Source organism: Homo sapiens, chromosome 3 (assembly GCF_000001405.40).
Source record: "Homo sapiens chromosome 3, GRCh38.p14 Primary Assembly".
NCBI classification, from domain to species: Eukaryota; Metazoa; Chordata; class Mammalia; order Primates; family Hominidae; genus Homo; species Homo sapiens.
Window position 1 is genome coordinate 111,837,829 of NC_000003.12, and position 20,748 is coordinate 111,858,576.

General features: G+C 39.7%; 1 protein-coding gene and 1 long non-coding RNA gene across 3 annotated transcripts in view; one reads left to right on the forward strand and one right to left on the reverse strand.

Annotated features, from left to right (window-relative positions):
• Nucleotides 1–20,748, forward strand: part of PHLDB2 (pleckstrin homology like domain family B member 2) — a 244,022-nt gene that overhangs the window by 105,333 nt on the left and 117,941 nt on the right. The window contains exon 2 of the mRNA NM_001134437.2: nucleotides 7,993–8,107. Coding sequence (NP_001127909.1) covers nucleotides 8,041–8,107 — 67 coding nt within the window. The 5' untranslated portion in view covers nucleotides 7,993–8,040. The remainder of the gene's footprint in view (nucleotides 1–7,992; nucleotides 8,108–20,748) is intronic.
• LOC105374040 (uncharacterized) overlaps nucleotides 1–20,748 on the reverse strand; it is a 61,639-nt gene that overhangs the window by 38,651 nt on the left and 2,240 nt on the right. The gene's annotated exons all lie outside the window — the stretch shown is intronic.

The following is a 20,748-nucleotide window of genomic DNA, read 5'->3' on the forward strand; positions in this document are numbered from 1 at the left end:
AGCCAGGAGTTTGAGACCAGCCTGGTCAACATGGCAAAATCTCTTCTCTACTACAAATACAAAAATTAGCCAGGCATAGTGATGCACGCCTGTAATCTCAGCTACTCGGGAACTGCAGCATGAGAATCACTTGAACCCGGGAGGTGGAGGTTGCAGTAAGCTGAGATCGTCCCACCGCACTCCAGCCTGGGTGACAGAGGGAGACTCTGTCTCAAAAATAACAACAACAACAACAACAACAACAAACACACATTACTGAACCTACCAACACAGATTCTGATTCAGAAAGTCTAGAGTGCGGGTAAGGTACCTGTAATTTTATTTTTATTTATGTATTTGTTTGCATGTTTGTTTTAGAGACAGGTTCTCGCTATGTTGCCCAGGCTTGTCGCAAACTCCTGGGCTCAAGCAGTCTTCCCGCCTTTATCTCCTGATCGGCTGGGACTATAGGCACCTGCCACCACTCCTACCCAGGAACCTGTATGTTTAAAAAGTTCCTCAGTACGCTCTTGCCTCTGGCAACCTAGAAGAGGAATTTGACCCTGCCCACAATCCCTCTTTCCCTTTCCAAACTGTTCTCAGAAAAGCAGCTCTACAAGAATGATAGCAAATCCAATAATGTATCTGGGTTGATTTCCCAGAAATTCATCAAACCAGCACAGCATGGAAGTTACTTATATACCTATTATACTTTCAGAACCCTTCAGACAGTCAACATGGATGAAGGCTAATAATTTGATTACCATAAAAATATAACTAGGAAAAAATAGTTGTAGGCTTTACATATAAAGAAATTTGAACTACAGCCCCACAGAATTAGTGACAATCTGAATTTCCAACAGAACTTTGAGGCAGAGTCAGATTAGAATATTTTTTAAAACTTGCTTAGAATTAATATCTAACAAAATGAGGATAGTTGTGTTCTCGGTATTATCTGTTTAAAATTTAATCTAAGAATAGACTCTGAGATTTTCTTGAAGAGCAGTTAGTGCTGAGCATATACTGACCTAAGAACAGATACACTTCTAAATCTAATTTAGGAGAATCATTTTGGAAATAAGACAATTTTTTTCTTGTGAACATTCTATCTAGGAAGAATTCAGCAGAATGAATATTCATCATTTAACATATTTCTATTTTTATAGTCTGCTTCAAAACTTTTATAGTAAAAATAAGATAAAAGTATAGAATCACTTCCAGATTTCTCTACACACTCAAGCAATTATTCATTTTATATGTCTGGCAGGATGGGTTTGATTGTGGTCACCCTCTTTGTCTCTTCCATTACCCCTGGTACTGAGAGGGTGCAAGTGAGGATAAATTAGCCAAGAGGCCACCCACACTGAGCTCTTCCAGACTGAAACAAACAAACAAACAAACAAAAACATTAGAGTCAGAAAAACTAAATATAACACATGTTCCTAGATTGCATTCTATAAAGAATATTATTGGGATAATTAACTAACTTGAACAGAGTTTGTGAATTTAATGTTAGTGTCAATGACAATGTCCTGATTTTGATTCTTGTGTATTGGTTATCTGAAAAATGCCCTTCTTGGAAGAGTTACACATTATTCAACAGTGATGCGCTCTCTGTTCACAATGTACTCTCAAGTAGCTCCAGAAAAAAAATGTTCTTTGTGCTATTCTTGCAGCTTTTAACATTTGAAGTTATTTTAAAATTAACATTATCTTTAGCATTTTAAAAAGATAAAGTTGATTTTATGGCCTGTGAGTTTATCATTGATTTTCTCAGATTCTCTGGGTAAACTATATCAACTGTAAATAGTTTTATTTCTTCTTTTCCATTTCCTGTGAATCGATTTTTTTCTTTTTTAATTGTGTTGGTTATAATCTCTAGGAAAAAAATGTTCAATAGATGGAGAGAGAGTAAGCATCCTTACCTTTTTGTAATCTCAGTGGAAATACCTCTAGTATTTTCTGACTAAACATAACACCGGCTTTAGGACCGAGGTATAGAAAAATATGCATTATCATTTCTCAGCCTTATGGCTAAGATCAAGTGTAGAAAATATGCCTCAATTTCTATTTTCTTGAGTGTTTTTATCAGGAATAGGAATTGAGTTTTGTTTAAAAGCCCCCCACCCCCGCTTTTTTTTTTTTTTTTTTTTTTTTGCGCCAAGTGTGGTGGCTCATGCCTGTAATCCCAGCACTTCGGGAGGCTGAGGCAGCAGAATTGCTTGAGACAAGGAGTTTAAGACCAACCTAGGCAAAATAGTGAGGCCCCATTTCTAACAAATCAAAATAAAAATATTAGCCAGGTAGAGTGGTACATGCCTGTAGTCCTACCTGCTTGGAAGACTGAGGCAGAAGAATTGCTTGAGCCCAGGAGGTTGAGGCTGCAATGAGCTATGATTGCACCACTGCACTCCAGCCTGGGTGACAGTGAGACCCTGTCTCCAAAAAAAATTTGTTTAATAAAATAAAATTAAAAGAATTTTAAAAAGCCTTTTCCCCAACTGAGGATAATATACAATTAATCTTCTTATATCTACTAATATAGTATTTAAATTAATAGATTTCCTCATATTGAATCATCCTTGCATTCCAGAAATAAATCCTACCTGGTCATGGTATATTTTCTTAATGTGGTGTTTGGATTCTGTTTTCTAATATTTACTCTAGCATTTTTGCATTGATATTGGATAATGGCTTGTAGTCTTGTTTACACATTAGAGTCATTTTCCTCCATACCACTTTTAGGAGAACAGTTTCCATGAAAGGGAGCTTGATGATAACAGAAAAGATAAAGAGACAATCTAACACAGAAATAGACCTGTCTTAGGGCCACATAAATTAAGGGGAGGTTGCTGACTCCTCTCTTACTGACTAGGTGACCTTAGAGAAGTTATTCCTCCTCTTCTGCCCTCAATTTTCTTGCCTATCAATTAGACGAACCTACTCAAAAGATTGTGTGAGAATAAAATGACAAGATGTCTATACAGACTTCAGTACAATGCCTGACACAATGTAAGCTCACGTAAACACTGGTATACCCTATTTTATTAAAAAGAACTACTTTTCTTCTACTGCCTCTCACATTATAATAATGCATAAAGACATATGTGGACAGATGTCATAGTTTCATCAGCAGGCAGATAGTCCCCAATACCATTTTGTCATGATTACCAGGCCACAGAGGAGTTTAGGCAGCTAATCTAGGGAGCTAGGTTTGTATTTTTTCTCTTCTTTTATAGTTACTCCATTCCAGACTAGAAGTTTGAATTTATAATTTTATTTAATTAATTAATTTTGTGTATTTATTTTTGAGACGGAGTCTCACTCTGTCGCCCAGGCTGGAGTGCAATGGCGTGATCTTGGCTCACTGCAACCTCTGCCTCCCAGGTTAAAGCGATTCTCATCCCTCAGCCTCCTGAGTAGCTGGGACTACAGGCACCCGCCATCACACCCAGCTAATTTTTAGCTGTATTTTTAGTAGAGAAGGGGTTTGAATTTAAACAGTGAGCTTTTCATGGTTATTGAGTAGGAGTAGGAGGAGGGGGGAACTGTAAAGGAATGAAAAAGGAAGAGGAAACTTCTTGAACCCCTCCTACATACCAGGAACTAATTTAGGTATATCTGCAGTTATTATGTGAGGAAAGGTGGAAGGTTGCATCAAGATTGTAGAACTCCAGAACCACCTTGACAGGTGAATGAGTATGGGCATTGTCTCTCTATCTAACAGTTGAGATCAACTTTTGTTCTTTTCTTCTCACTCATAACCTCTTCAAATAGAATAAAGAGATGCGTTTTCTCTGGGTTGGGCTCTCAGTTACTCTGGCTGTAAGTGCTCTGAACATCAGGAAATCACTCTGTACAGGGTGTCAGCTGGGCTTCTAAGACTCCTGCGTGTGGAGGAGTTAAGGAGAGTGAACATTTATCAATACATTTATTCCACAACATTTTTATTATGAATGTGTTGATTCTGCAACTCTTCATTAGACTGTAGAGGTAGAAATGCTGTCTACCACTCTAAGACTGATAGACCTAGAGCACTGTAGGAATGCCCTGGAAAAAGAAATTGGCCTGAAGATGTTGGCATTTGTGCGGAACCTAGAAAGTCAGAGTTAGAAAGCAAAGCAAAGCTTGTGGGAGACAGCACAGTACATGTATTAAGGAACAGACTCACACAGATCTAGGTCTGCATTTTGTCTTCCTATCTTTCTTACTATTGACTTTGGACAAGTTCTTTATTTTTCTCAGCTTTAATTGCATTTCTGTAAATTTAGGGAAAAGTACCTTATAGGGTTATAGTGAAGTTATAAAGGAGATAATGTAGGTAAAACACTTAGCACAGTACCTGGCTTATAACTGCTCAAATATAATGGCCATTATTATTATCTGGTCTTTAGCAGTGTTCACTTCTTGCCTCCATCAACAATCTTTTCCTTAGACTTTAAGCTTCTGCTTTTTTTTCTTTAAAGACTATTTTTTGGTTCACAGCAAAATTGAGATGAAGGTACAGAGATTTCTCATATATCCCCATCCTCACACAAACATGGCCTTTCCCCTTATTAACATCCCCGCCAGGGTGGTATGTGTGTTACAACTGGTGAACTGGTGAACCTATATATTGATGCATTGCCATCACACAAAATCCATAGTTTACATTAGGGTTCACTCTTGGTATTGTACATTCTATGGGTTTAGACAAATATATAATAACCTGTATCCACTATTACAGTATCTTACGGAGTATTTTCACTGCCCTAAAAATCTTCTGTGAAGCTTCTTTTTTTAAAAAACAGCTTTTATTGAGATATAACTCACAGACCATATAATTCACCTACTTAAAGTTTACAATTCAATGGTTTTTAATATATTCAAAGAGTCATCCAGAAGCTAACTTTAGAATATTTTCCTCTCAAAAGAAAATCCACACCCATTAGCAGCACTCTCTATTCCTCTTTCATCTCTTCCCTACATCCACTTCCAGGCAACCACAAATCTATTTTCTGTCTCTATAGATTTAACTATTCTGAACAGTTCATATAAATGTAATCATGTAATATGTGATCTTTTGTGACTACCTTCTTTCATTTAGCATGTTTTCAAAGTTCATCCATGTTGAAGCATTGTCAGTACTTTATTCCTTTGTATTGCTGAATAATATTCCATTGTATAGATAAATCACGCTTTATCCATTCACCTTTTGAAATACATCTGAGTTGTTTCCATTTTTTGCTATTACAAATAACGACACCATGAACATTTACATATGAGTTTTTGTGAGAACATATGTTTTCATTTCTTTGGGGTATATACGTAGGAGTGGAATTTCTGGATTTTATGGCAGCCCTGTTAACCTTTAGAGAAACTGGCAGATTGTGATCCAAAGAGGCATTTTGTATTTCCACAAACACCCTATGAGTGCTCCAATTTCTCCATTCTCTCCAATACTTGTTACAATCTGTCTTTTTTATTATAGCCATCCCAGTGGGTATGAAATGGTATCATATTGTGGTATTGATGTGCCTTTCCCAAATGGCTAAAGATGTTCAGTATATCTCCTTCGGAGCAATGTCTACTCAAATCCTTTGAGTATTTTGATTTTTTTATTAGACAGCGTCTTGCTCTGTTGCCCAGGCTGGAGCACAGTAGCATGATCAGAGCTCACTGCAGCTCTTAACTCCAGGGCTCAAGCCATCCTCCTGCCTCAACCTCCAAGTAGCTGGGAACACAGGCACATGGCAGCATGCCTGGCTAATTTTTTAAAATCTTTGGTACAGACAGGATCTCTCTATGTTGCCTGGGCTGGTCTTGAAATCCTGGGCTCAAGTGATCCTCCTGCCTCAGCCTCCCAAAGTGTTGGGATTACAGCAGTGAGCCACCATGCTTTGCCAAGTATTTTGAATTTTAAGAGTTTTACAAATACTCTAGCTACAAATCCCTTATCAGATATATAATTTACAAACATTTTCTCCTGCTCTGTGGGCTCTCATTTCACTTTTTTGATGGTATTGCTTATAGCACAAAAGTTTTTAAAGCTTCTTTTAAGTATAACTTATGGAAGTTTATATTTCAACAGTTATCTCCTAAATAGTACACTTTCAATGGAAGACTTGGCCTTGTTCTTCATAGACAAAAACAATGTATGTAAACTCAGTACGTAAAAAACTCAGTAATGTAAAAATCCTCTAATTGTAACCTTCCCATCACATAGCTGTTGACCTACATTGGCATCTACCCTTACCTGCTTTCACTACCCATGCTCTTGAGATAAAAAGAGCTTATTCTAGTCAAGACCAACACTCCAGCTGGATTCTTGACCTCATCCTCTCTCTATTCTCCCAGGACATTCCTCTGTCACTTAATCTCTCTGTTTCCTAGATCTTTAACATCTCTCTCAGCCTATGAGACAGTTTGCCTTGCTCCCTCCCATTTTGAAAAAAAACAAAAACAAACTTGTCTTGATCTGCATCCTCCAAATATACATCTCTAATCTTGTTCTCTACCCTGCACTTCACTTGGATGCCCTACAGATATATTTCAATTCAACATGTCCAGAATTAAATTCCCCTCCTCACCCCACATCTGTTCTACTTTCAATATTTCTGTTCGTAGATAATGGCACCATCATCCGTCACTTACCCAAATCAAACTCTCTCTCCCCTGTACACACCTTCTAGAATCAATAAATCATGTTGGCTTGATGCGTTGTACCTCTCAGGTATATCATACAGTCTGCATCTCACTATTGTACACAAATGCCTTTAGTTTAGTTTCTTAGCATCTCTCCCCTGAATTATTGTATAGACCTCTAACTTATTTTTCTACCTCCAATTCTGCCACCATTAAGGTTCATTCTCCTTAATATACCAAGAGCAATATAAACAAAACCTGGTATGTTTTAGCATTTGAATAGGAGATGGTGATTGTCCCCTTATTAGGTAATGTACATCACTGGTTATGTGACTTTTGATAACTCTCTAATTATTCCTCTTCAGTCTCTGGCTCCTCATTTGTTAAAGAAAAAAATGACAGCACTTAGTCTTAGAGACATTGTGAGAATCAAGTGGGACAATATTTGGCATACTAGGTGTACAACAAATGGGAGGCCTTACTTACATGATAGTGGGACCAGGTTATCTCCTGGGGCTCCCCTGTGTCTACAGAGAATATCAGATATGTCAGCTGCAGGAATCCGGACTTAAAGTCAGGAACTCTTTGGGAAGCTCTTGAGAACAAGGACACTGGTTTCTTTCCCTATAATATAGAATTTGTGCCGGGAGCAGTGGCTCATGCCTGTAATCCCAGCACTTTGGAAGGTCGAGGTGGGTGGATTACAAGGTCAGGAGTTCGAGACCAGCCTGGCCAATATGGTGAAACCCCGTCTCTACTAAAAATACAAAAAAATTAGCCAGGCCTGGTGGCACATGCCTGTAATCCCACCTACTCAGGAGGCTGACGCAGGAGAATTGCTTGAATCCGGGAGGTGGAGGTTGCAGTGAGCCAAGATCACGCCACTGCACTCCAGCCTGGGTGACAGAGCAAGACTCTGTCTCAAAAAAAAAAAAAAAAAAAAAAAAAAAAAAACTATGGGATTTGTAAAAAGTAGAAGAAATAGTAAAGACAAAGTACCTAACAGGGTGGCTGGTAAATAAAAAGCAGGGGATGAAAAATAGAAAATAAGCAGCAACATGCCCAAGAAGAAATAACTATGCTAAGAAACTGGTTCCTCTTTTGGTTTAAGCATTGTCCATTACTTGTTTGCCAGATTTGTCTATTCTAGATAAAAGTGTGCTTTTGTTGTCAGTGGTGCTGGTGGTGGCGAAGTTCTGTTGTTTTACAGGGAAGATAGCAGTGGAATAACAGAGTGATCCAGGACGTCTGTTTTTCAACTTCAGCAGTAGTTAGTTTCCCCGGATGTTAAACATCTGAGTTCAACAGATGAAGTTCTGTTGACCTTGAGTTTTCAGAGGTCAATTCAGCTTTCCAATCATGGTACCTCTCTTTTCTTGCTGTGTGCAGGCTGGCACTGATCCCAGTTTATCCTTTGAGATTCAGCAGAAGATCCTGATGGAGGAGGAGGATACCAAGAGAGAGGTGCCCAAGGAAGATGGAGTTGGTGATGTGCAACATTTCGGTGAGAACTTTATTGTCAGAGGTTTTCAGTACATATTTACAAGTTCTTACTCCATCATACATATTGGGAATGAGCTGGCATTTTCAAGCATATACCCAGGAGTCCAGCAATCATTGGGGAAGAGAGCCTGAGGCTGGCAATCCTTGCCCAGAACTTTGGTCACCTGCTTGTTCACAGGCCACCATATCTTACTTCACTGAAGTCATATGCTGAGGTTTTATTTAGTCCAGATGCTGAAGGATGGGAAGACCCAAGCAGCTGGTGTGGAGGTCTTTCCCAGTGACTCATCAGTCATTCAGAAATCAAAGCCTGCACAAGAAAGGGTGGGATGGGATGTATAGAGAAAGACACCAAGCCTTTAGACTCCAGCAGAGTAGCTGATATTGACATATCTGAGGAGGGAGGAGGCTCCAATACGACTACTCCCAATTCACAGGGTTTGTGGTTCTGGATGAAATCTTTGCAAAGGGTTTCCCTGGCACTCAAACAGAATAAATAGGCTTATAAAGTGTATATATTCCTCATTATTTTTTATTATGCCTCAGATGATCAAGTAACCAGAAGGCTGAGGGATAAGCTTGGTTACCTAGTTTCAGCCAATCTCATTAGTATTTCCTTCTGACCAGCTGACCAGCTCTGTACTGCAAAGTCTTCTTGTATTAAGGGAGGGCAATTCCAAACTAGATTTAATTTTTCATTTACTCATTGTGCTAAGTTCTAGACACAAGAAGTTAAAATAGAAAAACCTGTGTTAGGGCTCTCCAGAGAAACAGAACCAATAGAACACACATACACACACACACAGAGAAGGAGAGACAAAGAGAGATTTTAAGCAATTGTCTTACTCAGTTGCTCTATTGTGGGGGCTGGCTGGGAATTCTGCAATCTGTAGGGAGTGTTTATCTCGAGCAGACATGGAAAATAAAACAGAAACATTGCAATATGACGATGTGAAATACTTTGACATCTAACCAAAACCAGTCATGGTTTTGGACTTTCTGGAGAGGGTGATTTCTGAAGCAACTATTGCTAGGTGAATTGTGATTATGAGGAAAGAGATACATGAATGTGACTCATGTGAATAACTGCAGGCAGTTTACTGTGACTGGAATGCTCCCTCCTTGCAGGAAGAGGAGGAAGGAAATGACAAGCTATTAGGTGGGAAAATAACCTGGAGAAACCAAATGACATTTTTTTTTGTTTATTTGTTTTCATGCTAATCTGAGGATTCCAGATTTATTTTATCCTAAAGGCTTTGAGAAGTTATTGAAGAATTCTAAGCATTGGAGTGATGAGATTAGAGTTTCGGTAAAGACCAATTTATGTAATTATTCAACAAATATTTAATAGTGTCTGTCATGTATGAAGTTCTGAGAGACGCACTGGAGATATGACAATGAACAAGATAGAAAGATCCCGGTCCTCATACAGCTTAGAATTGTGTGCAGGAGATTAGGGGAAAAAAAGACTAATAAAAGAACTTAAAATTTTAAGTACTGTTATTGAGGCTTGATTTAGGAGCCTATTACAATTCCAATATCCTCCCATCCCATCACACCTGGCCATCACATCCTGCCATAAGTGGAAGCTTTAAGTACTGAATATTACTCAGCAACTGCCCTATACCCCATCCCCTCTCACGGCCAAATGCACAGTCTTGGATTTGATACTTCCAGACCCTCTTTCCAAAATGTGGATCTTAGCTTTTTCTTTAGGCTCTGCATCTTCCATTTCCTTGGGAGAGCCTTACTTACTGCACACCCAATGTCCCTTTAGCCCTGGGCCTAATGAGGTTCCATCTCCCCTTGACTTATTCCTGGCTCTCTCTAAAAGTGGGGAAATACCAGGTAGTAAATGAAGGCAAGGGGATGAAAAGTACTATTGACAGATATTTAAGAGGTAAAAATTATATGATTTGGCAATGTATTGGTAATAGGGGTTGAGGAGGACTTGAGGGACTGAAGAAGTTTCCCAGATAAGGGAGTTGGATGACTGGATCTAAGAGGGTGTCCTTTACTTAATTGTAGACTACAATTAAGAAGGAGGGCTGAGGGGTGCACGTGAGGGAAGGTGATAATGATGTAATGATTAGGACATGTTACGTCTGCTGTGCCCAAAGGATACCTCTGTGTAGGTAGGCAGTATGCGACCCTCACCTTCCCCCGTGTACATTCCTAAACCTTCCTTCTTTCTTGTACTGAGGATTGTGGAAGTTGGAATGAAAAACAAAGGACTGATATTTCCAGTAGGATCAAAGCATTCAACAAAGTAATTGAGAATCTATCATAAAATGCTAATAGCCCATGAGAGATAAAACTTTCCTTTGAGAACTAATTACCAGTGAATTATTCATCAAGGGTAAGGTTACCCCCCGCCACCTGCCACTAGGGATCCTTCAAAACTGCCTGTGTAAGGAGTTTTCCACCTGGATAGTCACTTTGATAACTTCTGCAGGACAAAACTAGCTTTTGCAACAGGAAAACAATAAACCACATCAGAGCTTGTCTTGATTACATTGCTCATCAATGCTCAGCAGGCTAGAGGAGTAAAAAGCATAAGTGCTTTGGTGCTTTGACCCCCCCAAACAGCACTCCAAGTGTTGAGGGATCTCAGACCTTATCTGGGATTTTTGTTGAAGAAACAGAGGAAGAGCCACAGAAAGCTCTGCCAACAGACTTGGGGTGTGGGGAGAAAAATACTGCCTTTAGACATATACAGTCATGCACTGCATAATGTTTCAATCAATGAGGGACCACATGTACAACAGTGGCCCTGCAAGATTATAATGGAGTGGGAAAATGTCTTATCATCTGGTGACAGTGGTACAGTAGCACAACACCTTACCTTTTCTGTGTTGAGATGTTTAGATACACAAATATTTACCATTATATTACAGTTGCCTACAGTATTCAGTACAGTAGCGTGCTATATAGGCTTGTAGCCTAGGAATAGGCTATGCCATTCTTATGGTTATGCCATATAGACTGGGTGTGTAACAGACTATGCCACCTAGGTTTGTGTAAGTGGACTCTATGATGTTTGCATAATGACAAAATTACCTAACAATGCATTTCTCAGAACATAGCCCTAGCCTCAAGCAATGCCCGACTGTATATGAAACTTTCCTCTTGTGAATTGATGGGTTGCCAAGCCTTTTATAAAGCTAACTTTAATATTAACATTGAAGATACAGTGAATCCATATACCCATGTTAAAGTTCTGGAGTTTGTTTCTTTTTTGTTTGTTTGTTTTTTTGATATGGTCTCACTCTATTGCCTAGGCTGGAATGCATTGATGGAATCATAGCTCACTGCAGCCTTGAATTCTTAGGCTCAAGTGATCCTCCTGCCTCAGTCTCCAGAGTAGGTAAGACTATAGGCCCAAGACACCATGCCTGGATAATTGAAAAAAATTTTTTAGAGAAGGGGTTTTGCTATGTTGTCTAGGCTGGTCTCAAACTCCTGGGCTCAAATGATCCTTCCACCTTGGCCTCCCAAAGCGCTGGGATTCCAGGCATGAGCCACTGTGCCAGGCCAAAGTTCTGAAAATTCTTATGTCAGTCTTGTAAATATAATACTAATACCGTAGGAATCAAGCTCTGGAAATTACCATTAAGAGAATGACCTTTTAAATAGAGCTTCTTTTGTTTTCCATTTGAACAGCACAGCAAGTGAATTTTGATAATCTTCTTTAGGAATATTTGTAACTCAGAAATTCTTAGTTCTTGTCATTATACAAAATAGACACTTGCACATATATTTTATAGCAGTGCAGTTCACAATTGCAAAGATGTGGAACCAACCTAAGTGCCTATCAACTAATGAGTGAATAAAGAAAATGTGGTATAGATACACCATGGAATACTATTCAGCCATTAAAAAGCATGAAATAATGTCTTTTCCAGCAACTTATATGGAGCTGGAGGCCATTATTCTTTTTTTTTTGGGACGGAGTCTCGCTCTGTCGCCCAGGCTAGAGTGCAGTGGCGCGATCTCGGCTCACTGCAAGCTCCGCCTCCCGGGTTCACGCCATTCTCCTGCCTCAGCCTCCCGAGTAGCTGGGACTACAGGCGCCCACCACCACACCCAGCTAATTTTTTGTATTTTTAGTAGAGACAGGGTTTCACCATGTTAGCCAGGATGGTCTCGATCTCCTGACCTTGTGATCCACCCACCTCGGCCTCCCCAAGTGCTAGGATTACAGGCATAAGCCACCGCGCCCAGCCGCTGGAGGCCATTATTCTAAGTGAAATAACAGGGGTGGAAAACTGAAAACCGTATGTTCTCACTTATAAGTGGGAGTTAAGCTATGGGTACACAAAGGTATACAGAGTGACATAATGGACTTTAGAAACTCAAAGGGAGAAGGTGAGGGGGGCAGGGCTAGGGATAAAAAACTGCACATTAGGTAAATGTACACTACTTGCATGATGGGTGCACTAAAATATCAAAATTCATCACTATATAATTCATTCGTGTAATAAAAAATCTACTTGTACCTAAAAAGCTGTTGAAATTTTAAAAAATTTAAAAAGAAATTCTTGGTTTTTGAGGATAGTCATAAATTCAAATGAGACTAAAATAACCATACTAAGATGAAGCAGGAGGATCACTTGACCCCAGGAGCTCAAGACCAGCCTGGGCAATGTAGCAAGATCCCATCTCTACAAAAAAATTTTAAAATCTGGGTGTGGTGGCATGCACTTGTAGTCCTAGTTACTTGGAAGGCTGAGGCACGAGGATGGCTTGAGTCCAGGTTTCAAGTTACAATGATCTATGATTACACCACTATACTCCAGCCTGGGCAAGAGAACAAGACATTGTCTTTAAAGTCAATACATAAATAAATAAAAGAACTATACTAGTCATAACATCACTATCTGTATCTCAGAAATAAATGCTTCAAACAACCATTTAGAATTTATTGAGCACTAACATAAATCTCCAGTCAGAGTTGAGTGCTATAAAATAATGTTTTTGGCCAGGCGTGGTGGCTCACGCCTGTAATCCCAGCACTTTGGGAGGCCGAGTCAGGCAGATCACGAGGTCAGGAGATGGAGACCAACCTGGCTAACACAGTGAAACCCCGTCTCTACTAAAAATACAAAAAATTAGCTGGGTGTGGTGGTGGTGACCTGTAGTCCCAGCTACTCGGGAGGCTGAGGCAGGAGAATGGCATGAACCCATGAGGCAGAGCTTGCAGTGAGCCGAGATCACGCCACTGCACTCCAGCCTGGGTGACAGAGCGAGATTCTGTCTTAAAAAAAAAAAAAAAAAAAAAAGGTTTTTACTAGTGTTCTTTGCGATTCTCCTGAGAGAAGCAATGACATTGCCCCCATCAAGTGGAAAATTAAAAATGGTCTGGCAAGTAGCTCTGAGCCCCTGCAGACACAGCCAGTTAATTGGAATGTTGTCACTGAATTTCTAGTCCATCAGTGACCCAACAGCCAAAATGGGCCTGCTCATGTGTATTTCTGTGAGCATTTTAGGATCTGTGACTACAGAGTAATCATAACTCTGAAAAAGGAAAAGGGCAGTCAGGAGTGGATGGAGAGATTTAATATCTTAATTGTGGCCCTAATGAATACGCAGTTCTCAGTTGAGCAGCCTCGACTTGAGACTGACACCTTGTTTAATACAGGAAGTAGAGTGCGGCTTTATTAAAGTCTTTAAATGTTGTGGCTGGAGCTCATATTTCTTTTTCACCCTATGCCTATATAATCATGTTGTTCCACTTCCTACATAGCCGCTGGCTCTTCCTGTTGTCCCGCAGCAAGAAGCCAGTGCAAGTTTAGAGTAAGGAAATGACATAATTAAAATGGTATTCGATGCGAAGCCTAAAATTCAAAGCCCCATCTTTCCCCTTTCCTCAAATCTGGCCCCAGCACCCTAGATCTTATCTCCTACTCCTCCCTCCCCAGCTCAGGCGGCTGTATTACTCACTCTTTCCCAAATCTGCCTTGGCTTTACTGTCCTCCTACATTGCTCATGGTCTTTCCTCTGCCTAGAAGGCCCCTCAACCTTTTTTTTTTCAATATGAAACTCACATATGTTGTCTTCCCTGTTGGACTCATAGGACACAAATACCCCTTCACCTGAACTCTTCTGTATCATTGTTTTTTAGTATATATTACATTATCATATTACAGTTATATGCTAGGCAGTATAAAACAGAGTAGGTGCTTCGTAAATTTGCCTTTAACATTCCTCATGTTCTGAATCCTGGCCCCTGCTCTCAGTTGTCAGAATTCTCCCGTGTGCTGAAGTCTGTGTATATCTGACACATCAATTTGGACATCTATCCAAATTGGGTAGATGCCCAAGGTGGCATTCTCCCTCTCTCTCTCGCTCTCTCTCTCTCCATATATATGTAAAATATATATTATATATACAATTATGTTATATGTAAAGATCATATATAATACACATATATTATATATACATAAATTAATATTATACATAGGATTATATATTATAATAATCCTTATGTATAATTATCTTTATACATAATATAATTATCTTTATGTATAACATTAAGGACAAATTGAAATCAAGGTATGGTATAACTGGAGGGATGATGAAAGTCAGATGAAAGGAAAAACAAAGAAAACCAACAGAGAGAAGAGAAGCTGAGTTCTCTTCAGTATCGAGGAATACTGCTGTTAAGGTGTTGGTTTCTTTTTTCCATGATAAGCAGATAAGATACAGAGAAACTCCTTGTTTTAAGCCCACTACGCAGGCAAAGTAGACCAATTCAGGGTCCTCAAGTGATAAGAAAAGTGAGCCAGATAACACAGCTGGGATAGGTTAATCTAAAAGACACACACACACACACACACACACACACATACACACACACCATCCTTTTCCTGCCTGATTACAATACAGACTCACAGAAAAGATTGGGGGTAGGGCAGAAGGAGAACGTTTAATGCAGAAATTAATCAGATGTTCCAAATAGATTTACATTTTTCTCATAATTAGAGAACCTACCTTGTAATTGTTTAAAGATAAACCAGCACATGGGGATAATCATTAAACTTGAGGAGACAAAAATTAGGTGTTTCCCTTTTTATGCCCCTAGGAGGTTAAAAAGTTATTTTCACTTTAGTTTTGGTTAACATTCTGGTATTAATTTGATTAATATGTTATTTATACTTTATCTATTTAAATATATATTAGAGAATGTATAGTAAAAACCAAATATTCAATAAGGTTATTGGAATAAAAATACATCAACATTTTAAAAAGGAGAGGAAAGCAAAGTCTTTATTACCGTTACACAAAAATTTAATGGTAAGCTTGACTCTGGGCTTCCTGGCAACAAGGATACAAAGAGAAACAGTGGGTTACATAGTTTCCCTTAACAACAGTTGCAGATCCAATGTGAAAATAGATGAAGATGACTTTTCTAAGAAATGAAAGTACATTCATTTTTTAGAGAGACAATTTATCTAAGTACTAAAAAGAGTGTGTAAATTGGAACTGAACTTATATAGGACAGTCAGTGTATAACTCAATGGTCAACATCATTATCAATAGTTCCAGAAAGGCAAACGTGGTTGGAAACTACTCTGCTGGGTGTTCTTTTTGTGCTGTCTGTCCTCTGTGCAAGGAATGGTACCTACATTAACACACTGGCTCATAAAATGTGAGTTCAGCCAGGTGCGGTGGCTCACACCTGTAATCCCAGCACTTTGGAAGGCCGAGGTGGGTGGATCAACTGAGGTCAAGAGTTCAAGACCAGCCTGACCAACATGGTGAAATCCCATCTCTTCTAAAAATACAAAATTAGCTAGGCATGGTGGTGCATGCCTGTAATCCCAGCTACTCCAGAGGCTGAAGCAGGAGAATCGCTTAAACCCAGTAGGCAGAGGTTGTGAGCCAAGATCGTGCCATTGCACTCCAGCCTGAGCAACAAGAGCAAGACTCCATCTCCAAAAAAAAAAAAATAGTTCTTACTTTTCAGAATAGAAGTTTGCTTCTCAGTGAAGATAAATAATGCACTCAAATTACTTGGCTATTGTATTAGTCCGTTCTCACACTCCTATAAAGAAATACCTGAGACTGGGTAACTTATAAAGGAAAGAGGTTTAATTGACTCACAGTTTCACATTGCTGGGGAGGCCTCAGGAAGCTTACAATCATGGCAAAAGGCAAAGGAGAAGCAGACACTTTCTTCACAGGGCAGCAGGACAGAATGAATGCAAGAAGGGGAAATGCCAGACACTTACAAAACCATCAGATCTCATGAGAACTCACTATCATGAGAACAGCATGGGGGAAACTGCCCCCAAGATCCAATTACCTCCACCTGGTCCCACCCTTGACACTTGGGGATTATGAGAATTACAATTCCAGGTGAGATTTGGTTTGGGACACAGAGCCAAACCATATTAGCTAGCAAAGGGGCTGAATCAGGGCTTAAAACCCAGTTCTGCCTTACTTCACAGTCAATGATTTTTCCACTGCACTTTGCAAGTAGAAACTTCTTGATTCATTAAATCATCATAATATTAAAGCGAACTTCAGCACAAACAATTGTTCCATGAGTTAAACTGCAGTAAGATTGAAATGAGTTAATAGCTACAAAGATTTGTTAGGCTATCATTGCAGAGAAAGGAGCAAATATACAGATTCAGGACATAAAAAGTTAATCAAATCCAACCGATCTTTTCTAATAAAAGAGAACAATAGCAAAAATAATTACAAATGGAATAACATAAATAATTCATAATATCACTGTATGTGTTTCAAAGTGAGCAGGTATGTACAAACCTACTCCCAAAGACCACAGAAGCTGAAAAGCCAAAGAAAGAGGCTGACAAGTCCAGTTTCTCAGAAAGAAACATTTAATAGAGACTTATGAACAGAAGCCATGTCCCCAGTGGCTGTGAAAAAAGATGGTGCATCTCCACGCTGTCACTCCCAGAGTCAAGACACATAAACTAAAGGAAAAGAATGTGTAGGAGAATTGAAGTCGACCCCTTGGGGAGAGGCAAGAATGCTCTGTGAATCTGCCCATGGGCAGGATTTATGGTCAAGGTTGTTTTGACCCAGGGGCAGGATTTAAGGTATCAGTAGATAAAGTACAAATCTTAGAGTAATTCCCAGAACTCGGGTTAATCAGAAGTCAACAGGTAATCTTCCATGGAATTAGGGTAAAAAGAAAAAAAAAAGTCAGCATGGCAGATTAGCATCCAAGATAGAGTTGCTTTAGCCTCAACACTGTGCAACACTTTAAGGTTCCCCACCTGAGAGGGTGAAGGACACAGGAAAGTAAGATCAGGGACTGTAACCACTACAGATCCTGGAGAGGCAAACAAGAAAGGTCTGCTGTTTAGTTTACAACACAATATCTCTAGTGATAAGGAATGGCAGAGCGCAGGCAGGACTCTGGTCTGTGATTAAACAGAAAACTTTATTATAAAGAACCCAGGAAATAGAAAAGGTAGAAAGACTCTCTCTTTCTTCCTTCCTTCCTTCCTTTCTTTCTTTCTCTCTCTCCCCCTCCCGCGCTTCCCTCTTTTTCCTTCCTTCCTTCCTCCCTTCTTTGCTTCCTTCCTTCTTTTCTTTCCTTTCTTTCTTCTTTCTTTCCATCACCATTACTAAAAGAAAGTCTGGTAATATAATAATAACAATAACAGTTGCACTTTATTGAGTGCTTTCTATAGATGTTGAGGTCTGCATTTGTCTTTTTTTTTTTTTTTTTTTTTTTTGGCGACAAGGTCTCACTCTGCCACCCAGGCTGGAGTGCAATGGTGCGATCATGGATCACCCAGCCTCGAATTCTCAGGTGATTCTCCCACCTCAGCCTCCTGAGTAGCTGGGACTACAGATGGTGCACCACCATGCCCGGCTAATATTTTTGTATTTTTAGTAGAGACGGGTTTTGCCATGTTGGCCAGGCTGCTCTGGAACTTCTAATCTCAAGCAATCCTGCTACCTCGGCTCCCAAGGTGTTGGGATTACAGGCATGAGCCATTGAGCCTGGACTGAATTTATCTAATTTAAGACTTGCACCTTCAGGGTGGTCTCGTCTATCTTCAGGCTGCTATGGCCTTATGAAAGCTATTGAAAACCACTCTAACTCATCAGGAATGGGAAACTTTGCTGGGTTTAGTCACTTGAAAAAGTCACATTCAATGACTACTTTTTGAGTCCCTTCCATATATAAGTCTTGGAGTATGATTCATACAAATATGAATAAAATGACTCCCTTTGCCTTCTAGGAGCTTGGCTATCCTAAGAGATAGAGATGCTAGCAGATAAAACAAGGCAGTGAAGGGAGGCCAGTGAGGATTACTTTTTGTCTAGTAATTTGGAATTATTCATTATACAGAAATATCCCCTAGTAACATTCATACTTAGAAAAGAGGTAGAAGGTAGCATTAAAGACAATGAACTCAAGAACAAGTGCTCAAATTCTGCCTCTACCAACTTATTACCTGAGTGACAACTGACTTCTCTGTGATTCCTTTTTTACTTATAAAATGGGAGTAGTAACAAACAGTAACTCTCACCGCATCAACTAATATTGTCCTATATTTGGAAGAATACCGGATACGTATACAATAGTAATTATTGCTCTCAATAAATTTAGCTATTTTTTTCTTAGACATAAATATTGGCAATCTAATTATGGCCATTCTAAATGTGCTGTGTTGGTGCACATTCTCCTTAGACCTGAAGGGAGAAAGGTTGTCTCTAAGATGTCTGTGTAGTCAAGTGTATTTCTGGCATTGCTCGAGGCAAGGAAATGTTTGCAACACAGTGCTTTGGGTCAAAGCCATCATTTATTCTTGAGCACCATTTACATGTCCGGTATCCTTGTAGGCACACTAGGGATATAGCACTGGAGAGAACAGGCAAAACTCTCTGCCTGCCTGCCTTACATTCTAGTGAGGAGAGACAGACAATAAACATAATTTAAAAAGTACATTTTACAATATAGTAGAATGTGGTGACTTTGTCAAAAAGTAAATTTAAGTAGTATGGAAAACACATTTTAAACTTTTAAGTAGAGTGGTCAGAGCAGGCCTGAGCAACACGGTGACATTGAACAGGGTCTTGAAGGAAGTGAGGGAGTGAACCATGCAGATACTTGGGAGGAGGGAATTATAGGCAGAGAGGGCAATTAGAACAAAGGCCCTGAGATAGAACGGATTTACCTAGGAATCTAGTCTACGAGGCCACTGTGGCAGGGGCTAAGTGAGTGATAAAGGGGAAGTAGGAGGCTGGGCACAGTGGCTCACACCTGTCATCCCAACACTTAGGGTGGCGGAGGCAGACAGATCGCTTGAGCCCAGGAGTTCAAGAACAGTCTGGGCAATGTGGTGAAACCCCATCTCTGCAAAAAATTCAATATTAGCTGGGCATGGTGGTCTGCACCTGTGGTCCCAGCTATTCAGGAGGCTGAAGTGGGAGGATCACTTGAGCCCAGGAGGTTAAGGCTGCAGTGAGCTATGACTGTGCCATTGCACTCCAACCTGGGTGACAAAGTGAGGCCCTGTCTCAAAAAAAAAAAAAAGAAAAGAAAAGAAAAAAAAATTCCAAGGTAATGGAAATAAAATGATTGTATGTTTATGGGGATGATCCAAAAAAGAGGAGGAAAGAGATGACGTGGGTGAGAAAAGAACATTGCTGGAGCACTTAACTGTTTAACTGTTGGATTGATCAGTGTATGTATGCTTCTGCAGGGCAAAAACTCAGGACAGGGAAAAGAATTCCTCTAAAAAACCCGGCATTCCTAACAAACATATGAAAAAAAGCTCATCATCACTAGTCATTACAGAAATGCAAATCAAAACCACAACGAGATACCATCTCACGCCAGTTAGAATGGCAATCATTAAAAAGTCAGGAAATAACAGACGCTGCAGAGAATGTGGAGAAATGGGAACGCTTTTACACTGTTGGTGGGAGTATAAGTTAGTTCAACCATTGTGGAAGACAGTGTGGCGATTCCTCAGGGATCTAGAACTAGAAATACCATTTGACCCAGCAATCCCATTACTGGGTATATACCCAAAGAATTATAAATCATTCTACTATAAAGACACATACAAACGTATGTTTATTGCAGCACTGTTCACAATAACAAAGACTTGGAACCAACCCAAGTGCCCATCAATGATAGACTGGATGAAGAAAATGTGGCACATATACACCATGGAATACCATGCAGCCATAAAAAAGAATGAATTCATGTCCTTTGCAGGGACGTGGATGATGCTGGAAACCATCATTCTCAGCAAACTAACACAGGAACAGAAAACCAAACACTGCATGTTCTCATCATAAGTGGGAGTTGAACAATGAGAACATATGGACCCAGGGAGGGGAACATCACACCCTGAGGCCTGTTGGGGGGTGGGGGACAAGGGGAGGGAGAGCATTAGGACAAATAACTAATGCATGCGGAGCTTAAAACCTAGATGAAGGGTTGATGGGTGCTGCAAACCACCATGGCACATGTATACCTGTGTAACAAACCTGCACGTTCTGCACATGTATCCCAGAACTTAAAGTATAATTAAAAAAGAAATTTAAAAAAGACATTCCGTAGGTGAGGCTCTCCCTAAAAGTCAAACTTTTACTTGCACATATGAAAAGTGTAATCATTAAATAAGCTATTTCTTC